Below are 19,851 nucleotides of genomic sequence, written 5' to 3' on the forward strand. Positions count from 1 at the left end.
TAGTTCCCTGTTCAGAAACTGTGGGATAGCTCCTTAAAGAATGAATCAGACCAGAGAAATAAAATTATAAAAAAGTAATCTGCTGAGGTGGGCGGATCACCTGAGGTTAGGAGTTTGAGACCAGCCTGACCAACATGGAGAAACCCCGTCTCTACTAAAAATACAAAAATTAGGTGGGCATGGTGGTGCATGCCTATAATCCCAGCTACTCAGGAGGCTGAGGCAGGAGAATCACTTGAACCCGGAAGGCGGAGGTTGCGGTGAGCCAAGATCGCACTGTTGCACTCCAGCCTGGGCGACAAGAGTGAAACCTTGTCTCAAAAAAAAAAAAAAAAAAAAAAGTAATCTGGTAAAGTCTACAGGACAAGTTTTGAGCACTCTCTGGTCCCCTCTACCCTTGTCTCACTTCCAAAAGGAAACTATCCCCAGGATTATTTCACTGGCTTTGGATGAGATGGCCACCAGTTCACAACTTTATCTACCTCCCCTCTGGGAGGTCAAGATGTGGTCTTTACAGAGATGGGTGCTAGGCCCTTACTCTGCCTCTTACTCTAGAAAAAGCCCCATTTGTCTTAGAAAGCATGAGCCATCCCAATCCTCACACAATCACCCCACAGCACACCCCACAGTCCCCAACCAACAGCCAAAGGCAAGATACAAAAAGGAGCTCCCTTACTATCAGTCAGCCCTTTCTGACCAGGACTCTTAGAATCAGAGCTGCCATTGTGACAACGAGAACAAGTGAGCATGAATGCCCAGGGCCTAAGTCCCATCACTGAGGCAAACTCTGTGTCTTGCCCCATAAGAGCAATGAGCCCAGGCATCCTGATAGCCTTCTCAGGAGGTCCATTTTTTTCTGCAGCAATGAATATAGTGTGTCACCTTCTTCCTGAAATTCCTGCCCTCCCTTGTCCTCTTCTCCCAGGGTTCTCTCCTGGCTTTTCCAGTTTTCTGAAGGTTGCTTCTCTTTCTTCTTCACTGATGCACACTCTACACGTAAGTGCTTCTCCAGATGTTGTCCTTGTCTCATTCTTCCACTAATTTATTCCTCTTTTCTAGAAGCATATGAACCCCGGACCTGGGCCAAGTGTTGGGCAGGCATTGGCCATCTATTTCCTACTCTCCACTCAAGGATTTCTACAACCCCCAGAGCAACAGCTACCACTTCCCCTAGAACAACCAAATTGTGTCTCTGATGCTGGTCTTTCCTGATGGTCAACTCTGTGCTCTTAACTCCAGCTGGAAACTTGCCCCTGGAAGATGAAGCTCAGCCACTACAAATGGAACTTACCATCTTCTCCCTGAGCCTGCTCCTCTGGCTCTTGACTTTCTGACATCTGTTACCTGCCTCAGCTTTTCCTCAGTCACTTGAGCTGAAAATCCAGAGTTGTCTCTGACTGACAGTGTGGCATCACATCCTGTCACTAGCTGTGCCTGGCTAATTCTGCCTGCCCAATGTTCGTCTAACACATTTGCCTCTTCCCCTCTACTCATTCTCATCATGGCCATCAAAAGCAAGCCTTCCAGCATCTCCCAACTTTCCCCCTTTATCCTGGTTCTCTATTCTAGCACCCCATGAAAGGTCCCAGACATAGTTGCTCTATTAGTCTTCCCCCAAAAGCTTTTATCTTGTCACTTCTCTGCTCAAAAGTCCTTCTGAGCTCTTGGTCAACTCTCAAAGAGTGTCCAGCCCCATGGCCTGCCACTCAAGGCACTCCGTCTTGTGTCCTTTGTCATTGTTCTGCCTCACACAGTCTGTCATCTGGCCACATGCTTCCCAAACATACCTTACTTCCCAACATTTCTTATTCTGGCTCCTAGGCACCTCATGCCATATCTGCTATTTCTAAACCTACCCATTCCTAAAGAACAGAATATGATGTTGCTTCCCTCCAATGACATTAAGCGTGTTATACCTTCTACTACAATGAATCCTGTGGCCTCAGTGCCCTGACAAGACCATAATCTTTGATGTATGGGACGTTTTCTCATTCCTTATTGTACTCTCAGCACTTAACAATGGCTGTTCATAGGGCTTATCAGATGAATGAAAATATAATTCCTGCTTCCTAGGGGATGCAAGAGAATAGAAGAGATCAGGTATAGGCTATGCATTCCTCAGAAGCCAGGTAGGAAGAGTGGTCACAGTTGTACAGAAATACCTGCCCAGAAGAGAAGCCACACTTCCATATGGGTGCCAAGAAACAGTATGCCCAAAAGGCTATCTGTAGGTCTCTTTTCTCAAATGTTTTTAACCACAGGATTGCTTCCCCCCTTGGTCAAAAGATTGGATGCCGTGACTTCTCGGCAGGCCCTCCAACAGTCTGACTCCTTCCTCTGGCTGGGGCTTGACGCTCCACAAATTCCTCACAGGTCAACCCTCCCATCGGCTGCTGTGTCACTTTGTCAGTGAGAAAGTGACTGATATTTCAATCGATTCTGACTTTACCTTGGAGAAAAAGCAAGAAAATCACCAAATAGGATAGCATCCCCCAAAGTGGGACAGTCACACCTCATTTGTCTGAATTCGTGATGTCACATAGGGTAAGCCATTGTGACAACATTCTTAACCCAAGACATTCATTTCAGCTTCAGAGGGGGCTTCTGTACCAAGATTTTAACATGATTGTTTGTGGGACAAACGAGGATTAGTGGTTTTCCATGGCACCCTTGCTTTTTCCTAAGTTTCTCCTACTCCAAGTGAGGACCAGGTTTATTGTCTTTCAGACCCAAGTAAACAACCAGCCTAATGCAGAACTTGTCTCTTTCAACAAATGTGCTGTTTCCTACTTTCCCTGGGGCAAGAAGGTGAGTGAGTTAAAAGAGAAGTCTTCTCTTCCAGTCTGCAGATGCTGGAGTAAACCAAAGGACTTGGCTAAGCAGCAAGGAGATGATCATGTCTATAAGGCACGGAAAACAAGATGTATCCTAAAGAATCCCTGCAAAGAGATGATTTACATTTTACCTGTTTTAGGCAGGTGTAAGGTATGCTTGGAAAAGGATTCAACAAAGAGGACCACACTCCTCCACGCCTCAGAGACAGAAAAGGAACAGAGTTCTGTTCAAACTTTCGGGAAGGTTCCCTTTGGTTTGTGTTTCCTCTGCTGGTAGGAGGTCTGCTTTCCATCTCTGCAGAACACACTTCTGCTTCTGACAATAAAGTGCATGCCTCATTGGCTTCTAGATACTTACCACCTGTTGCTATTCCAACTCATGGCTCCACTTGGCAAAAATGGCTGAGGAAAATCCACCAGCCACCAGGAGAAAACAAAGGCTATTTTGGGCTACCAAGCAGGGGTTCTGAGTGCAGCAGCCCATGGGTGGATCCTGATGAAGAGCACAGCCAGGGCTAAAGCAGACAGGCAGGCCATGGGATGCTGTCTGAAGTAACAAGACGCTGTGCAGGGAACATTGGGCCACCAGACCCCATTCAAAGAATCCACAGATTTATCTGGGTCTGTTTCACACGGTAACAGTCAGACTAGTGGCCAGAAAGAATAAGAGGTTACAAGTCCAACTAGAATAAAAAGCCATGGCCACATGAGCTTTGAGTGAGATAGATCTGAGTTTGAATGCTCGCCTAGTCATTCTCTCTCACTAACTTTGGCACTAACTTTGGCTTCATCATTTAACCTTTCTGGGTCTTAGTTTCCTCATATGGAAAATGAGGATAATGATACCTATCATACAAGGGTGTTCTGAAGACTAAATGAAAGGTAGTATAAAGTGCTCAGGCCAAGACCTGTCATACAGAGGGAACTCAATGTACTGATATTCTAGAGGAAAAGACATATTCCCAATCCTGAAAGAGTTTATAATCTAGTTAGGAATACAAAGTACATAAACATTAGCAAACAACAGGACATGGTCCAGCACTGGATTATGGGATATAAATTTAAACATAGTAGTTCAGAGAGTAACAAGATCTCTGAGGGTCCCAATCATCAGGGAAGTCAACATAGAGCAGGTGGGATGACAGTAGGTTCCTGAGAGTAGGGTAGGAAGAGATGAAACAGAAAGGAGGCCCTTCCCCTGGTCCGAGGCTACAAGGAAAATGCTGGGGCCAAGGTTAAAGAGTGAAGCCCAAAGGCCAAGTACAACCAAGTTAATTTTGAAGGAACTCCAACTGGATCCAGATATTGGATTTAGAAGATAAAGAATTCAAAGGATTTATTATAAATATGTTCAAATAATTATAGGAAAATATGCCATCAAGAAACAAACAAGTAGGGAATCTCAACAAGGAAATGGAAACACATTTTAAAATGGATTACAGAGCTAAGGTGTACAAATTAAATGTAAAATTAAAAAATCACTAGATGGGCTCAACTGAGGATTTAAGATGGCAGAAGAAATAATCAGTTAACTTGAAGACAAATGAAAAGAAACTGGCTTATTTAATGAACTACCAGGGAAATGCAAATTAAAACCACAACGAGCTATCACTTCACATTTGTATGGACAGCTATTATCAAAAAGACAAGAAATAACAAATGTTGACAAGGGTATGGAATGAAGGGAACCATTGTACAAAGCTAGTGGAAATGTAGATTGGTACGGCCATTATGGAAAACAATATGGAGATTCCTAAAATAATTTAAAATAGAACTACCATATGACCCAGAAATCCCCCTTTTCGGTATATCCCCAAAGAAGACAAAATCACCACTTCATAAAGATCTGCACTCCCATGTTCATGGAAGCATTAGTCACATTAGCCAAGATATGGAAACAATCTAAATGCCCATAGATGGATGAATGGATAAAGAAAATGTAGTGTGTGTGTGTGTGTGTGTGTGTGTGTGTGTGTGTGTGTATACACAGTGAACTATTTTTCAGGCTTTAAAAAGGAAATTCTGCCATTTGCCACATCATGATGGACCAGGAGGACAGGAAGATGTTATGCTAAGGGAAATAAGCCAGACACAGAAAGAAAAATATTGCATGATCTCACTTATTAGTAGATTTTTTTTTTTAAAAAAAGCTCAAATACATGAGACAGAGAATGAAGCATTAGTTACCATGAGAGTGGCAAGGTAGGAAATTGGGAGATGGAGGTCAAAGGATAAAAATAGCAGATATGTAGGATGAACAGATCTAGAGGCCTAAGGTACAACATGAGAACTACAGTTAATAGAATTGTATTTGGGATTTTGGTTCATTAAGTAGATTTTATCTGTCCTTATCACACAAAAAATACTGTGAAATAACAGATATGCTAATCTACTTTATTATAGTAAGTATTTTACTATCTATATGTATCCCATAATAGCATGTTGTAAAATCTCAAGTATACACAATAAAATTTATTCAGGAAAGAGGAAAGAGAAAGAGAATAGAGAAAGAAATCTCCTAGAAGTGTCAAGAAGAAAAAGAACTGAAGTAAACAGACATATTGGATGGTTAAACCATAAATGAAAAAGGCTCAAATAAACTAGTATTTATTTAAAAATTTTAAAAAATCATATTAATAATTATATTAAATGTAAGTGGTCTGACTCCAATTAAAAGGCAGAGATTGACAGACTATATTAAAAAGTGAGAACAGGCCGCACGCGGTGGCTCACGCCTGTAAGCCCAGCACTTTGGGAGGCCAAGGTGGGCGGATCACTTGAGGTCAGGAGTTTGAGACCAGCCTGGCCAACATGGTGAAACCCTGTCTCTACTAAAAATACAAAAAATAGCCGAGCATGGTGGCACCTGCCTGTAATCCCAGCTATTTAGGAGGCTGAGGCAGGAGAATGGCTTGAATCCAGGAGGTGGAGGTTGCAGTGAGCTGAGATCATACCATTGCACTCCAGCCTGGCTGACAGAGTGAGACTCCGTCTCAAAAAAAAAAAGCAAGAACAAATTATGTGCTTTCCTCAAAAGGGACACTTTAAATACTAAGATACAAATAGACTAGAAGTAAAATACTGTAAAACCATGCAAATAACAAAAGTAAAAACTAAAAGCAGAAGGCTGGAAATTACACAAACCTTAAAGGTAAGGAAACTGGAATAGCTCTCTTAATACAAGACAAAATAGGCTTCAAGAAAAGGAATATACTAGAATCAAAGAAATTTAATAATAGAAGAGTCAATTCATGAGAGATACAGAACAGTTTAAAATATATATGCCTCTAAAAAGAGATCTTCAAATTATATGAAGCAAAAAGTGACAGAACTAAGGAAAAAATAGAAAAACCCACAATCAAAGCTGGAAATCTTAATACTTTTCTATGAGTAATTGATAGGTTAGTTAGACAAAATCTCAATAAGGATATGAAAGAAATGAGTGAACTATTAACTACCTTACCTAATTTACATTTATAGCAAATTATACCCCCAAAATGCAAAATGCATATTCAAGAACACATAGAACGTTTAGCAAGATTAATAATATGCTTGGCCGTAAAAGCAAATCTCAGTAGATTTTAAGAGATACGTTTTTTGACCATGACAAAATTAAAGTTAAAAATGAATTAAGAGAGACTGGGTGTGGTGGCTCACGCCTGTAATCCCAGCACTTTGTGAGGCCAAGGTGGGCCAATTGCTTGAGCTCAGGAGTTTGAGATCAGCCTGGAAAACATGGAGAAACCTCGTCTCTTCAAAAAGTACAAAAATTAGCTGGGCATGGTGGCACATGCCTGTGGTCCCAGCTACTAGGGAGGCTGAGGTGGGAGGATTGCTTGAGTCCGGGAGGTTCAGGCTGCAGTGAGCTGTGATTGTGCCACTGCACTCCAGGCTGGGAGTGAGACTCTGTCTCAATAAAATAAAATAATTAAAAGAAAACATTTAGAAAATCCTCAAATATATTTTTTCTTATGTTTAAAATCTCTTTAAAAGATAATGATTTAAGGCAAAAATAACAATGTATTGTGGAGTTTATAACATACAGAAGTAAAATGTATGACAACAATAGCGAAAAGACTAAGCAATGGGAAATGGAAGTATATGGTTGTAGAGTTTTTATACTATACATAAAATGGTACCATGTTACTTGAAGATAGACTGGTAAGTTGAACATGTATGCCATAGGTCCTAAAGCAACCACTAAAAACAAATCAAAACAAAGCAAAAATGTAAAACTAACGAGCCAGTAAAAAGGTAAAATGAAATCACGAAAAAGAAAAAAACAAAGAACAGATGAGACAAATAGAAAACATAGTCAAATGGTAGATTGAAGCCCAACCACATCAGTAATCACATTAAATGCAAATGGTGTAAACATCCCAATTTTAAAGGAAGAGATTGTCAAATTGTATAAAAAAGAAAGACCAAACAATGTAGGTTAAAGTAAAAGCATGGAAAAAGATGTCAACGCTAGCCAAAAGAAGGCTTAAGTGACTGTACTAATACAAGACAAGGTATATGTCAGAGCAAATCTTACCAGGGATAAGGTGGGTCATTTTATAATGAAAAAGGGATTCATTCATTCATAAGAAATAACAATCCTGGCCGGGCGCGGTGGCTCATGCCTGTAATCCCAGCACTTTGGGAGGCTGAGCCTGGCAGATCACCTGAGGTCAGGAGTTCGAAACCAGCCTGGCCAAAATGGCGAAACCCCGTCTCTACTAAAAATACAAAACAATTAGCTGGGAGTGGTGGTGCGTGCCTGTAGTCCCAGCTACTCGAGAGGCTGAGGCATGAGAACTGCTTGAACCCAGGAGGCAGAAGTTGGCAGTGAGCCGAGATCATGCCACTGTACTCCAGCCTGGGCGACAGAGCGAGGCTTTGTCTCAGTTAAAAAAAAAGAAAAAAGAAATAATCCTAATATTTGGCACCTGATGATACAGCTTTAGAAATAGAGAAATTTAGAAATAGAGAAATAGACAAACTCACTACTATAACGAGATTTCAACACCTTCTCTGAATAGTTGATACAATAAGTGGACAAAATCAATAGGATATAGAAAACTTGAACAGTACTATTAACCAACTTGACCTAATTAACATTCATAGGATACTCCACTGAAAAACGATATATTTGTTTCAAGTGCATAGAGAACATTTACCAAATTAGACCACATTCTGGGCCATACTACAAATCTCAATAAATTCTAAAAGATTCAAATCATACAAACCATGCTCTCTAATCATAATAGAATTAAATTAGAAATCAATAACAAAAAGATATATGGAAAAGCACCCAAATACTTACATATTAAACAATAAATTTCTAAATAATATATGGGTCAAAGAAGAAATCACAACAGAAACTAGAATATATTTTGAATCAAATGAAAATAAAGGCTGGGTGTGGTGGTTCATGTCTGTAATCCCAGCACTTTGGGAGGCCGAGGTGGGTGGATCACTTGAGGCTGGCAGTTGGAGACCAGCCTGGCCAACATGGCAAAACCCCATCTCTAGTAAAAATACAAAAATTAGCCAGCGTGGTGGTGCACACCTGTAATCCCAGCTACTCTGGAGGCCGAGGCACAAGAATCGCTTGAACCTGGGAGGTGGAGATTGCAGTGAGCCAAGACTGCACCACTGCACTTCAGCCTGGGTGACAGAGCAAGACTCTGTCTTAAAAAAAAAAAAAAAAAGAAAGAAAAAGAAAAGAAAAACATGACAAATCAAAATTTGTGGCATGCAGCTTAAGCATCACTTAGAGGGAAATTTATAGAATTAAACTCTTATATGAGAAAAGAAGAAAGGTTTCAATCAGTGAAATAAGCTCCCACCTTAAGCAACTAGAAAAACAGAGCAAGTTAAACCCAAAGTAAATAGAAAAAAGAAATAATGAAATAAGCAAGAAAATAAATGAAATAGAGACACAAAAATAATAGAAAAAATCAATGAAGCTAAAAGCTGGTTCATAAAATTGCTAAACCTCTAGTAAGATAAATCAGGAAAAAATGAGAGAAGATATAAATTAGCAGTATCAACAATGAGAAAAGAGTCATCACTACCAACTCCACATACACTAAAAGGATGATAATGGCATCTCATGAGCAATGTTATGCTAATAATTATATTAAATTCTTTAAAAATTGTTGAAAGGAACTACTAATACTCACTCAAAAAGCAGTGGATAATCTAAATAGCCCTATATCTATTAAACCAATTGAGTTTGTAGTTAGAACCCTTCTCACAGTCAAAACTCCGGGCCCAGAAGGCTTCATGGTGAATTCTACTAAATATATTTAAGAAAGAAGGAATACCAAATTCTATGCAAACTACTGCAGAAAATAGAGGTCAAGGGAACACTTCTCAACTCATTCTATGAGGCTGGTATTGCTCTGATACCAAAACTGGACAAAGACATTATAAGAAAAGAAAACTATATTCCAATATTCCTCATGAATTCCTCATGAAAAAAATTGTAAATTAATTTCAGGAAATAAAGATTTTTAAAAATTTTTTAAATTTTCATTACTATTATTTTTTGAGATGGCATCTTGCTCTGTTGCCCAGGCTGGAGTGCAGTGATGTGATCTCAGCTCACTGTAACCTCCGCCTTCTAGGTTCATGTGATTCTCCTGTCTCAGCCTCCTGAGTAGCTGGGATTACAGGTGTGCACCACCACACCCGGCTAATTTTTGTATTTTTAGTAGAGACAGGGTTTCGCCATGTTGGCCAGGCTGGTCTCGAACTCCTGACCTCAGGTGATCCGCCTGCCTTGGCCTCCCAAACTGTTGGGATTGCAGGCGTGAGCCACCGTGCCTGGCCAGGAAATAAAGTTTAACAACATTTTGAAGGATAATACATTATGATCAGATGGAGTTTATCTCAGGACTGCAAGATTAATTTAACATTCAAAAATCAATGTAATTCACTCTATTAACAAACAAACAAAAAGAGATGATCTTCATAGGTGTAGAAATGCATTTGATAAAATCTAACATCTATTCATGACAAAACTCTCAAGAACAAAAGGGGATTCCCTCGATCTGATAAAAGGCATCTACAAAAGACCTACAGCTATATCATACTTAACGGCAAAAAATTAAATGCTTTTCCCTTAAGATCAGGAATAAGGCTAGGAATCAATTCTACTCAACATTGTACTGGAGGTATCAGCCTGTGCAAAAATGTAAGTGGAAAAAAAAAGACATACAGATTGGAAAAGAAGTAAAAGTGTCTTGATTCACAGATGACATGGTTGTCTATGCAGAAAATCCTAAGGAATCTACAAAAATGCTACTAGAACTAGTAAGTGAGTTTAGCAAGGTTGTAGGATATATGGTCATTATATAAAAATCAAATGTATTTCTGTATATTAACAGTGATTACCCAGGGCATAGGGGAACTTTTGGGAGTAATGGAAATATTCTATGACATAACTGAAATGTAAACCATATCATTTGCAATAGCATCAAAAATACAAAAAATCTAGAGAAAAAATTAACAAAAGATATATAAAACTACACACTGAAACTACACAATGAAAACTATGAACACATATATATATTCTGTGAACACACAGAATATATTTTTTAAAAACTCTTACACATACATTATTTTCAGTGTGAAACTACACACCGAAAACTATGAAACAACCCGGACAAGGTGGTGTGCACCTGTAATCCCAGCTACTCAGGGAGGATAAGGCAGGAGGATTGCTTGAGCCCAGGAGTTTGAGGCTACAGTGAGCTATGATTGTGCCTCTGCACTCCAGGCTAGAGGACAGAGTGACACCTTGTCTACGAAAAAATAATAATAACAAAACTATGAAATATTGGTGAGAAAAAGTAAGATCTAAATAAATGGAAATACGTGTTCATGGATGAGAAGACTCAATACTAAGCTGTAACTTTTCTCTAAATTCATCTGTGGGTTCAATGAAATCTAATCAAATCCCAGCAGGCTTTTTAGTAGAAATTGATAAGCTAATTATAAAATGTATGTGGAAATGCAATGGACCCAGAATAGCCAAAAGCAATTTTGTAAAAGAAAAAGTTGGAGACCTTACACTACCTGATTTCAATACTTTTTTTTTTTTGAGACAGGGTCTTGTTCTGTCTCCCAGGCTGGAGTGCAGTGGCTTGATCATAGCTCACTGCAGCCTTTATCTCCCGGGCTCAAACAGTCCTCCCACTTCAGCTTCCTGAGCAGCTAGGACTACAGACCCAGGCCACCATGCCCCGCTAATTTTTTTCTTTTTTAAATTTTTGGTAGAGATGAAGTCTCGCTGTGTTCCCAGGCTGGTCTTGAACTCCTGAGCCCAAGTGATTCTCTCACCTTGGCTGCCCAGAATTACAGGCTCAAGCCACCATGTACAGCCTCAAGATATATTATAAAGTTAAAATAATCAAGAATGTAGATCAATAGAACACAATAGACTATCCAGAAATATACCCACACAAATTGATTGTTGACAAAGGTTTTAAGGCAATTCAAGGGGATTCTTGGGGGGAAAAGGATAATCTTTTTAACAAACAGTGCTGAAACAATTGGACAGTCATATACAGAAAGGGAAGAGAGAGAGAGAGAGAGAGAGAGAGAGAGAAGGAAAGAAAGAAAGAAAGAAAGAAAAGAAAGAAAGAAAGAAAGAAAGAAAGAAAGAAAGAAAGAAAGAAAGAAAGAAAAAAGAAGGAAGGAAGGGAAGGAAGGAAAGGAAGGAAGCAAGGAAGGAAAGGAAGGAAGGAAGCAAGGAAAGAAGGAAGGAAGGAAGGGAAAGGAAGGAAGGAAGGGAGAACCTTGACCCTTAGATCACACCATACACAAAAATTAACTCAAAATGGATCACAGACCTAAATGTAAAAGCTAAAAAAGTCTGAGAAATAAACATAGCAGAAATTCTTAATGACCTTGGGTTTGGCAAAGATTTCTTTCCTTCCTTCCTTCCTTCCTTCCTTCCTTCCTTCCTTCCTTTCTTTCTTTCTTTCTTTTTCTTTCTTTCTTTCTTTCCTTTCTTTTTTTAAATGGAGTCTTGCTCTGTTGCCCAGGCTGGAGGGTAGTGCATGATCTCAGCTCACTGCAACCTCTGCCTCCTGGGTTCAAGCGATTCTCATGCCTCAGTCTCCTGCATAGCTGGGATTACAGGCATGAGCCACAGTGCTCAGCTAATTTTTGTATTTTCAGTAGAGACAGGGTTTCACCGTGTTGCCCAGGCTGGTCTTGAACTCCTGGCCTCAAGTGATCTGCCCGCCTTGGCCTCCCAAAGTGCTGGGATTACAGGTATGAGTCACCACATCTGGCCAGATTTCTTAAATAGGAGTCAAAATGTAGGAAACAAAAGAAAAATATAACTAGGACTTCAAAATTTAAAACTTCTGCTCTTCAAGTGACAGTTTTATGAAAATGAAAAGGCAAAGGAGAAATTGGAAAACAATCTGCAAAACGTATCTGACAAAGGAATTATGTCTAGAATATATGTTTTAAAAACTCTTACAACTAAGTAATATAAAAAGAAAAAAGTCCATTCAAAAAAATGGGCAAAAAATTGAACAGACACTTGACCAAAAAAAATATATAGCAATGGCAAAAAAAGTACATGGAAAGATACTTACCACACATCATCAGTGACATGCAAATCAAACCAGTGAGATACTACTATACACCCACTAGAATGGCCAACATTAGAACAAATGATAAATACAAAAGGTTGGGAAAGACATGGAGCAACTGGAACTCCTTAGTAACTGCTGCTGGGAAGGTCAAATGGTACAGTTTGGTAGTTTCTGAAAATATTAAACATAGATCTTCCTTCAACCCTGCCATGCTAGGTATTCATCCAAGAGAAATAAGAACATGTCCACACAAAGATTTGTCCACAAATGTTCATAGAAGTTTTAATTGCCCCAAACTGGAAACAATCCAAATGTCCAAGATGGGAATGGATAGACACATTGTGATATATAAAAACAATGGAATACTACTGAGCAATAAAGAGGAGGGAATTACTGATACATGCAACAGCATAGATAAATCTCAGAAACATTATTCTTGCCAAAAGGAACCAGACACAAAAGAATACATACTATGTGATTCCATTTTATCTGTACTGACAGAAAGCAAATCAATTATTGCTTGGGGCATGAGAAATTTTTTTGTGAGTAATGGAAACATCCTCTAACATGATTGTAGTGATGTTTACCTGACTGCATACATTTGCTAAAACTCATCAAGTTGTACTCTTAAAATTGGTGAAATTTATTGTCTTAATTCTGTCTCAATTTTTAAAAATGAGGCAGCTCTACAAGGTACATATGGAATAGACTCCAAAGTTCATAGTTAAGTGGAAAAAACTAGGTGCAGAAATATGTATACAGTATACTATCATTTGTGAGGGCAAAAAAGAAAACACATAGGTATGTGCCATGTAGGCAGAGAATATCTCTAGAAGGATACCCAAGAAAATATAACAGTGGTAGCCTCTAGGAATAAGAATTCAGTGTCTGGAGTCTGAGATATGTGGGAGACTTTATTTTCCATCATGCATTCTTGGATTTTTTGCCATGTACATTTAAAAAAAAAGATGCTGATACAGGGAAGTACAGGATGCTGTGGAAGTTCATCAGGAAGGGTATCTGTCTCACAGTGGTGGACAGCGTCAGTAAATACTTCTTTGAAGAAGTTATATTTAAGCTAAGACCTGAAGGACAGTAAGGAATTAGCCAACAGAAGTAGGGAAGGAAAAAAAGATCATTCTAGACAGAGAGAATAGCATATACAAAGATCACAAGGAAAGAAAGAAAATGTGAGATTGGGCAACTGCAGGGTAGCTCTGTGAAGCTGGAATATTGAAGGACAAATATGAGACTGATGGGGGCTGGGTTTTCATCTTGTGAGCTAAAGCTCAGCAGACTTTTTCTGTTAAGAGCCAGGTATTAAAGATTTTCGACTTCATGGGCCAAAAGGCAAAAAATCAAACATTTTTTGTGGGTATTTGCACAAGACAAACACAAAAATTTTATAATTTTGAATTGACAAAATTCAACATATAATCATTGAATACTTTTTTTGTAATACAGGCCTATTAATGAGAATAATAGAATTTTTGGGGGGTGGGGGATAACATTTCATTTAATTATGATGCAAATCTAGTGTGTCTTACTGTCAAAATTGATTGCATATATTCACCTGTTAATGCTGATCTGTAATGAGATCTGATGTATTTCATCTTTGAAAATGTCTTTTTCATACAGAAAAGTAATGCCAAATATTGATATCAATCCATAAGCATATGATTTTAATTGAGCATATTCATCACTTGGAAGGCATTTATAGAATTCTGATAGAGTCTTCTCTTGATATTTGCCTTTAGCTTGTCATTACATTGCAGGTTAATTACTTCCAGTTGAAGGTTAGGTGGAAGTCCCTCAATTGCAGAGTTAAGTGAATTTTGAAGTGTAGAAATTTCATTTGCACTTGCATCAACATTGGAATAAAACACTGCTGGAACTATAGTTTGAGCTCAGAAAATATGTCCATTGCAAACTTGTGTGGAACGGAGAGCTTGCTTCTTGTTTCAACTTCCCATAGCATGGGAAGAGTGTAAAGCAGCTTGACATGATTTGTGATTCAAACAACATTAGTTATAGTCAAAATTATTTTACCGCCATATAAATTTCACAAATAAGCATTGTTTTACCTTGTAATTTTAGGTTAAATTCATTAAGAAATACCAAATCCGTAGCAAAAGCTATTATCCAAAATCATTTAGTATTTGATAACACTGGTTAAGGGTAGTTTTTTCATCCAGAAAAATATCAATGTCAGCTCTGAGCTAAAAGAAAAATCACAACAAAATTTTACTACTGTTAAATCATCAAAATGTATGATAGGACAAGTTAACATCTTTAGCTCTTATTTCAGTCAAAAAATGCACAGAACTGTCAATGGTTAAGTTCCTAAGAGTGAATGGTGTTCACTGTTGACACCACTGGTTCAATAATACATGACAGATTAAAATATTTCCTTCAAAGTACCTGTAGATAAATAATACAATGAATGACCACAAGCTTTAAACATTTTATGTTTTCATAAGTTTTGTAAATTTCCCCAATTAAGCCTTTTTTCTGCTGCATACATATTTTTGTGATCATTAGTTATAACACATCTTAGCAGATTCCACTTCAGGTTGTACTGAGTTAGTGTTTTCCCAACTATTCTCATCCGTAGTTATTCTACACTATTCTTAGAGGCAAATTCTTCAGTGACTTCAAACTTGGCATCCATTCCTCAAATAAACAATAATAAATGGTCATTATTGTTAACATCTGTCAACTCATCCAGAGCCTAGGAAAACCACTCAAAATTGTTTGCCTTGTCTTTAACTTTACTATTTATGTTTCTCCCAATGTCCACAGCTCTTTGAACAACTATTTTTGCAGAAAGACTAATACTCTTTAGTGAATTTATTTTCTCTGTACACAGTTTAATTAACTCACCATTTGTAAACAACTTTCCTTGCTTTGCTAACAAATGAGCCACTTGGAAAATTAGTTTGATGTAGCCTGATTTCCACTATTTATTTATTTATTGAAACAGTCTCACTGTGTCATCCAGGCTAGAGTGCAGTGGTGGCATCTCGGCTTACTGCAACCTCCACCTTCTAGTTTCAAGCAATTCTCCCACCTCAGACTACTGAGTAGCTGAGACTACAGTTGCATGTCACCACGCCTGGCTAGTTTTTGTATTTTTAGTAGAGACGGGGCTTCACCATGTTGGCCAGGCTGGTCTTGAGCTCCTGACTTCAGATTATCCATCCGTCTCAGCCTCCCAAAGTGCTGCAATTATAGGTGCGAGCCACCGTGTCTGGCCTCACTTTTTATTTTTATTTCTTTTGAGACGGAGTCTTGCTCTGTCACCCAGGCTGGAGTGCAATGGCGCGATCTCGGCTCACTGCAACCTCTGCCTCCCAGGTTCAAGTGATTCTTCTGCCTCAGCCTCCCGAGTAGCTGAGATTACAGGCGCGTACCACCATGCCTGGCTAATTTTTTTTGTATTTTTAGTAGAGATGGGGTTTCACTGTATTAGCCAGGCTGGTCTCTATCTCCTGACCTCATGATCCACCTGCCTCAGCCTCCCACAGTGCTGGGATTACAGGCATGAGCCACCATGCCCGGCCCCACTTTTGATTTTTGTGAAGAAATTGTGCTGTAATGAGATCTTTGATTTTAAATTTTCTAATTTTTCTGACTGTTTCTTGTCTGTGAGCTGGGAATATTGTGATAAATGTTAAGTGTTTGGTAATATTGACATATATTATGCTCTTTTAGCATGTCTATAATGCCATTGTGTAATAAAGCTAATTATCATCTAATTTAATAACAAAATAATCTACAGTACATTGTGTTTCAAAAGCAAGACATTCAAAGTCCACTTTTCTTTTCTTGTTTTGACATAATGAGGATGCACCAGTAATAAAAATAAAATGAAATACCACAGTATAGTGATACACATGTCACTTATTAACATTGTTAGGTTATAACTATCACTGCAGCAGTGCAGTGAGGGGAGTGTCATATACAATTTTTATGGCAACTTCTCACTGGCAATGCAAACAAACAAACAAACCCATAAACAATATGCAAACAAATGGCATGGCTATGCATTCTAATAAAACTTTATTTATGGACACAGTTTTGAATTTCATACAATTTTCACATCACAAATATTATTCTTTGTACTGAATTAATGTTTTCTCAACTATACTCATTTGTAGTTATTTGATTTTTTTCAACCCCTAAAAAATATGTGGGCAAAAAAAATTAAATAAAAGGTGTCCAGATTGGAATGGAAGAAGCAAAAGTATCTCAATTCACTCTCAGATGATACGATCTTTAAAAAAAAAATGTTTCAACACATACAAGGTATGGTGATTAGATCAGGGCAATTAGCATATCCATCATCTCAAACATTTATCATTTCTTTGTGATAGGAACATTGGATATCCTCCTTCTAGGTTTTTGAAACTATATATTATTATTAACTATAGTCATCCTACTGGACTATAGAACACTAGAACTTATTCCTCCTATCTAGCTGTAATTTTGTATCCTTTTAAAAATCTCTGTCTATCCTTCCTTCCCTATACTCTTCCCAGCCTCTAGTATCCTCTGTTCTACTTTTTTACTTATTTGAGATCAACTTTTTTTTAGGTTCCACATATGAGTGAGAATGCGAACTGTTTAACTTTCTGTTCCTGGCTTATTTCATTTAACACAATGTCCTCCAGTTCCATTCATGTTGCCATGAATGACAGGATTTCATTCCGTTTTATGGCTGAATAGTATTCCATTGTGTGTATGTACCCCATTTTCTTTGTTCACTCATCTATTGCTCGACCCCTAGGTTGATTCCATGTCTTCACTATTGTGAACAGTGCTGTAATCAGCATAGGGATGCAAATGTCTCTCACATGTAATAATTTCCCTTTGGATAAACTCCCAGTAGTGATATTGCTGAATGATAGGGTAGTTCTATTTGTATTGTTCTGAGAGACCCCCATACTGTTTTCCATAGTGGCTGTACTAGTTTGCATTTCCACCAACAGCATATAAGAGTTCCCTTCTCTCTGCATCTTTACCAGCATTTATTTTTTGTCTTTTTGATTATAGCCATCCTAACTGGGGTGAGATGATACCTCATTGTGGTTTTGATTTGCATTTCCCTGATGATTAGTGATGCTGAGGATTTTTCATATATTGTGTGGCCTTTTGTATGTCTTCTTTTGAGAAATATCTGTTCAGACCATTTTTGCCCATTTTTTAATCGAACTGTATGTTTTCCTGCTGTTGAGGTGTTTGAGTTTCTCATATATTCTGGATAGTAATTCCCTATTAGATCAGTAGTTTGCAAATATTTTCTTCCATTCTATAGGTTTTCTTTTCACTCTATTGATTGTTTCCTTTGATATGCAGCAGCTTTTTTAGTTTGATATAATCCCATTTGTTTATTTTTGCTTTTGTCGCCTGTCTTATTCATAAAATATTTTCCCAGACCAATGTCCTGAAGCATTTCTCCTATATTTTCTTCTAGTAGTTTTATAATTTCTGGTCTTACATTTAGGTCTTTATTGAAAAGATGTCTTTTCCCCAAAGAATGTTCCTGGCACTTTTGTCAAATATCAGTTGGCTGTAAATATGTGGGTTTATTTCTGGTTCTCTGTTCTGTTCCATTGGTCTATGTGTCTGTTTTTATGGCAGTACCATGCTGTTTTGGTTACTACAGATTTGAGGAAAGAGAACAAAACTGGAGGTATTGCTTTGACTATTTGGGGTCTTTTGTGGTTCCATACAAATTTTAGGATTTTTTTTCCTGTTTCTGTGAAAAATGTCATTGGCATTTTGATAGGTAGATGAAATAATCTTATATATAGAAATACTCCTTAGTATTAAGGAGTCTACTAAAAAAAGCCATTAGAATGAATAAATGAATTCAACAAAGTTGCAGGATATAAGATCTACATAAATAAATTATATTCTTATACACTTGCAATGAACAATTTGCAAATGAAATTAAGAAAACAATTCCATTTATAATAGCATCAAAAAGAGTAATGTAACTAGGAATAAATCTAACAAATGAAGTGCAAAATGTAAACTCTGAAAACTACAAAATACACTGTTGAAAGAAATTAAAGAAGCTCTCAATAAATATAAAGGCATCATATGTTCATGAATCAGGAGATTCAATATTGTTAAGATGGCAATATTCCCCAGATCGATCTACAGATTCAGTGCCATCCCAATCAAATTCCTGGCTTGCTTTTTTTGCAAAAATTGACAAGCTGATCTTAAAATTCAAGCTGACAAGGTGCCCAAAATAGTCAAAGCAATTTTGAAAAAGAAGAACAAAGTTGCAAGACTCACACTTCCCACTTTCAAAACTTACTATAAGCCACAATAAATTAAGACAGTGCGGTATCAGAATAAGGACAGAAACAGATCAATAGAATAAAATTGAGAATCCGGAAATAAACTCTCACACTTATGGTTAATTGGTTTTCAACAAGGATATAAAAGTAATGTAATCAGGAAAGAATTACAAATTGTTAGTTTTTTCTAACAAATTGTTCTGAGACAACTAGATATCCACAGCAAAATAGTGAAGTTGGATACCTACCTCACACTGTATACAAAAACTAACTCAAAATGGATCAAAGACCTAAATGGAAGAGCTCAAACTATAAAATTCTCAAAAAACATAGATGTATTTCTTTGTGACACTGGATTGGGCAGTGATTTGTTGGATATGACACTTAAAGTATGAACAAGAAAAGAAAAAATAGATAAATTGGACTTCCTCAAAATTAGAAACTTCTGTATTTCAAAGGACATCATTAAGAAAGTGAAACGACAACCCACTGAATTGTAGGAAGTATCTGTAAATCATACATCTGATAAGGAACTTATATCTATAATATATACAGAATGCTTACAACTCAACAACAATAAAACAATCTGGTTAAAAATGGGTTTAATTTTTTCTTTGGAGAAATGTCTTTAATTTCTTCTTTGGAGAAATGTCTATTCAAAGGGTATGAATACATATTTCTCCAAAGAATATATACAAATGGTCAACAAGCATATGAAAAGATGCTTAACATCACTAATCGTTAGGGAAACACAAGTCAAGACTATAGTGAGATACCACCTCACACCTATTAGGATGGCTACTATTAAAAAAAAAAACAGAAGATAACAAGCGTTGGTGAGGATGTGGAGAAATTTGAACGCTTGTGCATTGCTGGCAAAACAGTTTTATTGAGGTATGTTCGCATACCATACAATTCACACATTTAAAGTGTGCAATTCAATGATTTTTAAATATATTCAAAGAGTGGTACAACCATGACTACAATCAATTTTAGAACATTTTATCAACCTGAGAAGTAAACCCATACTCTTTGGCCTCCTACAACTCCCCAGTTTGAAGAAACTGCTAATCAGCCTTCTGTATCTAAAGATCTGCC

General features: G+C 37.7%; 1 protein-coding gene across 7 annotated transcripts in view, besides 1 other annotated feature; it reads right to left on the minus strand.

Annotated features, from left to right (window-relative positions):
• NRG2 (neuregulin 2) overlaps positions 1–19,851 on the minus strand; it is a 196,519-nt gene that overhangs the window by 80,665 nt on the left and 96,003 nt on the right. The window lies entirely within an intron of this gene.
• Positions 15,477–15,646: an enhancer, noted in NCBI's record as "active region_23254". NCBI's record gives its function as "activates an Ori minimal core promoter by ATAC-STARR-seq in GM12878 lymphoblastoid cells {active_cell/tissue: GM12878}" and the evidence as "EXISTENCE:reporter gene assay evidence [ECO:0000049][PMID:35858748]".

Source organism: Homo sapiens, chromosome 5 (genome assembly GCF_000001405.40).
Source record: "Homo sapiens chromosome 5, GRCh38.p14 Primary Assembly".
Taxonomy (NCBI): Eukaryota; Metazoa; Chordata; class Mammalia; order Primates; family Hominidae; genus Homo; species Homo sapiens.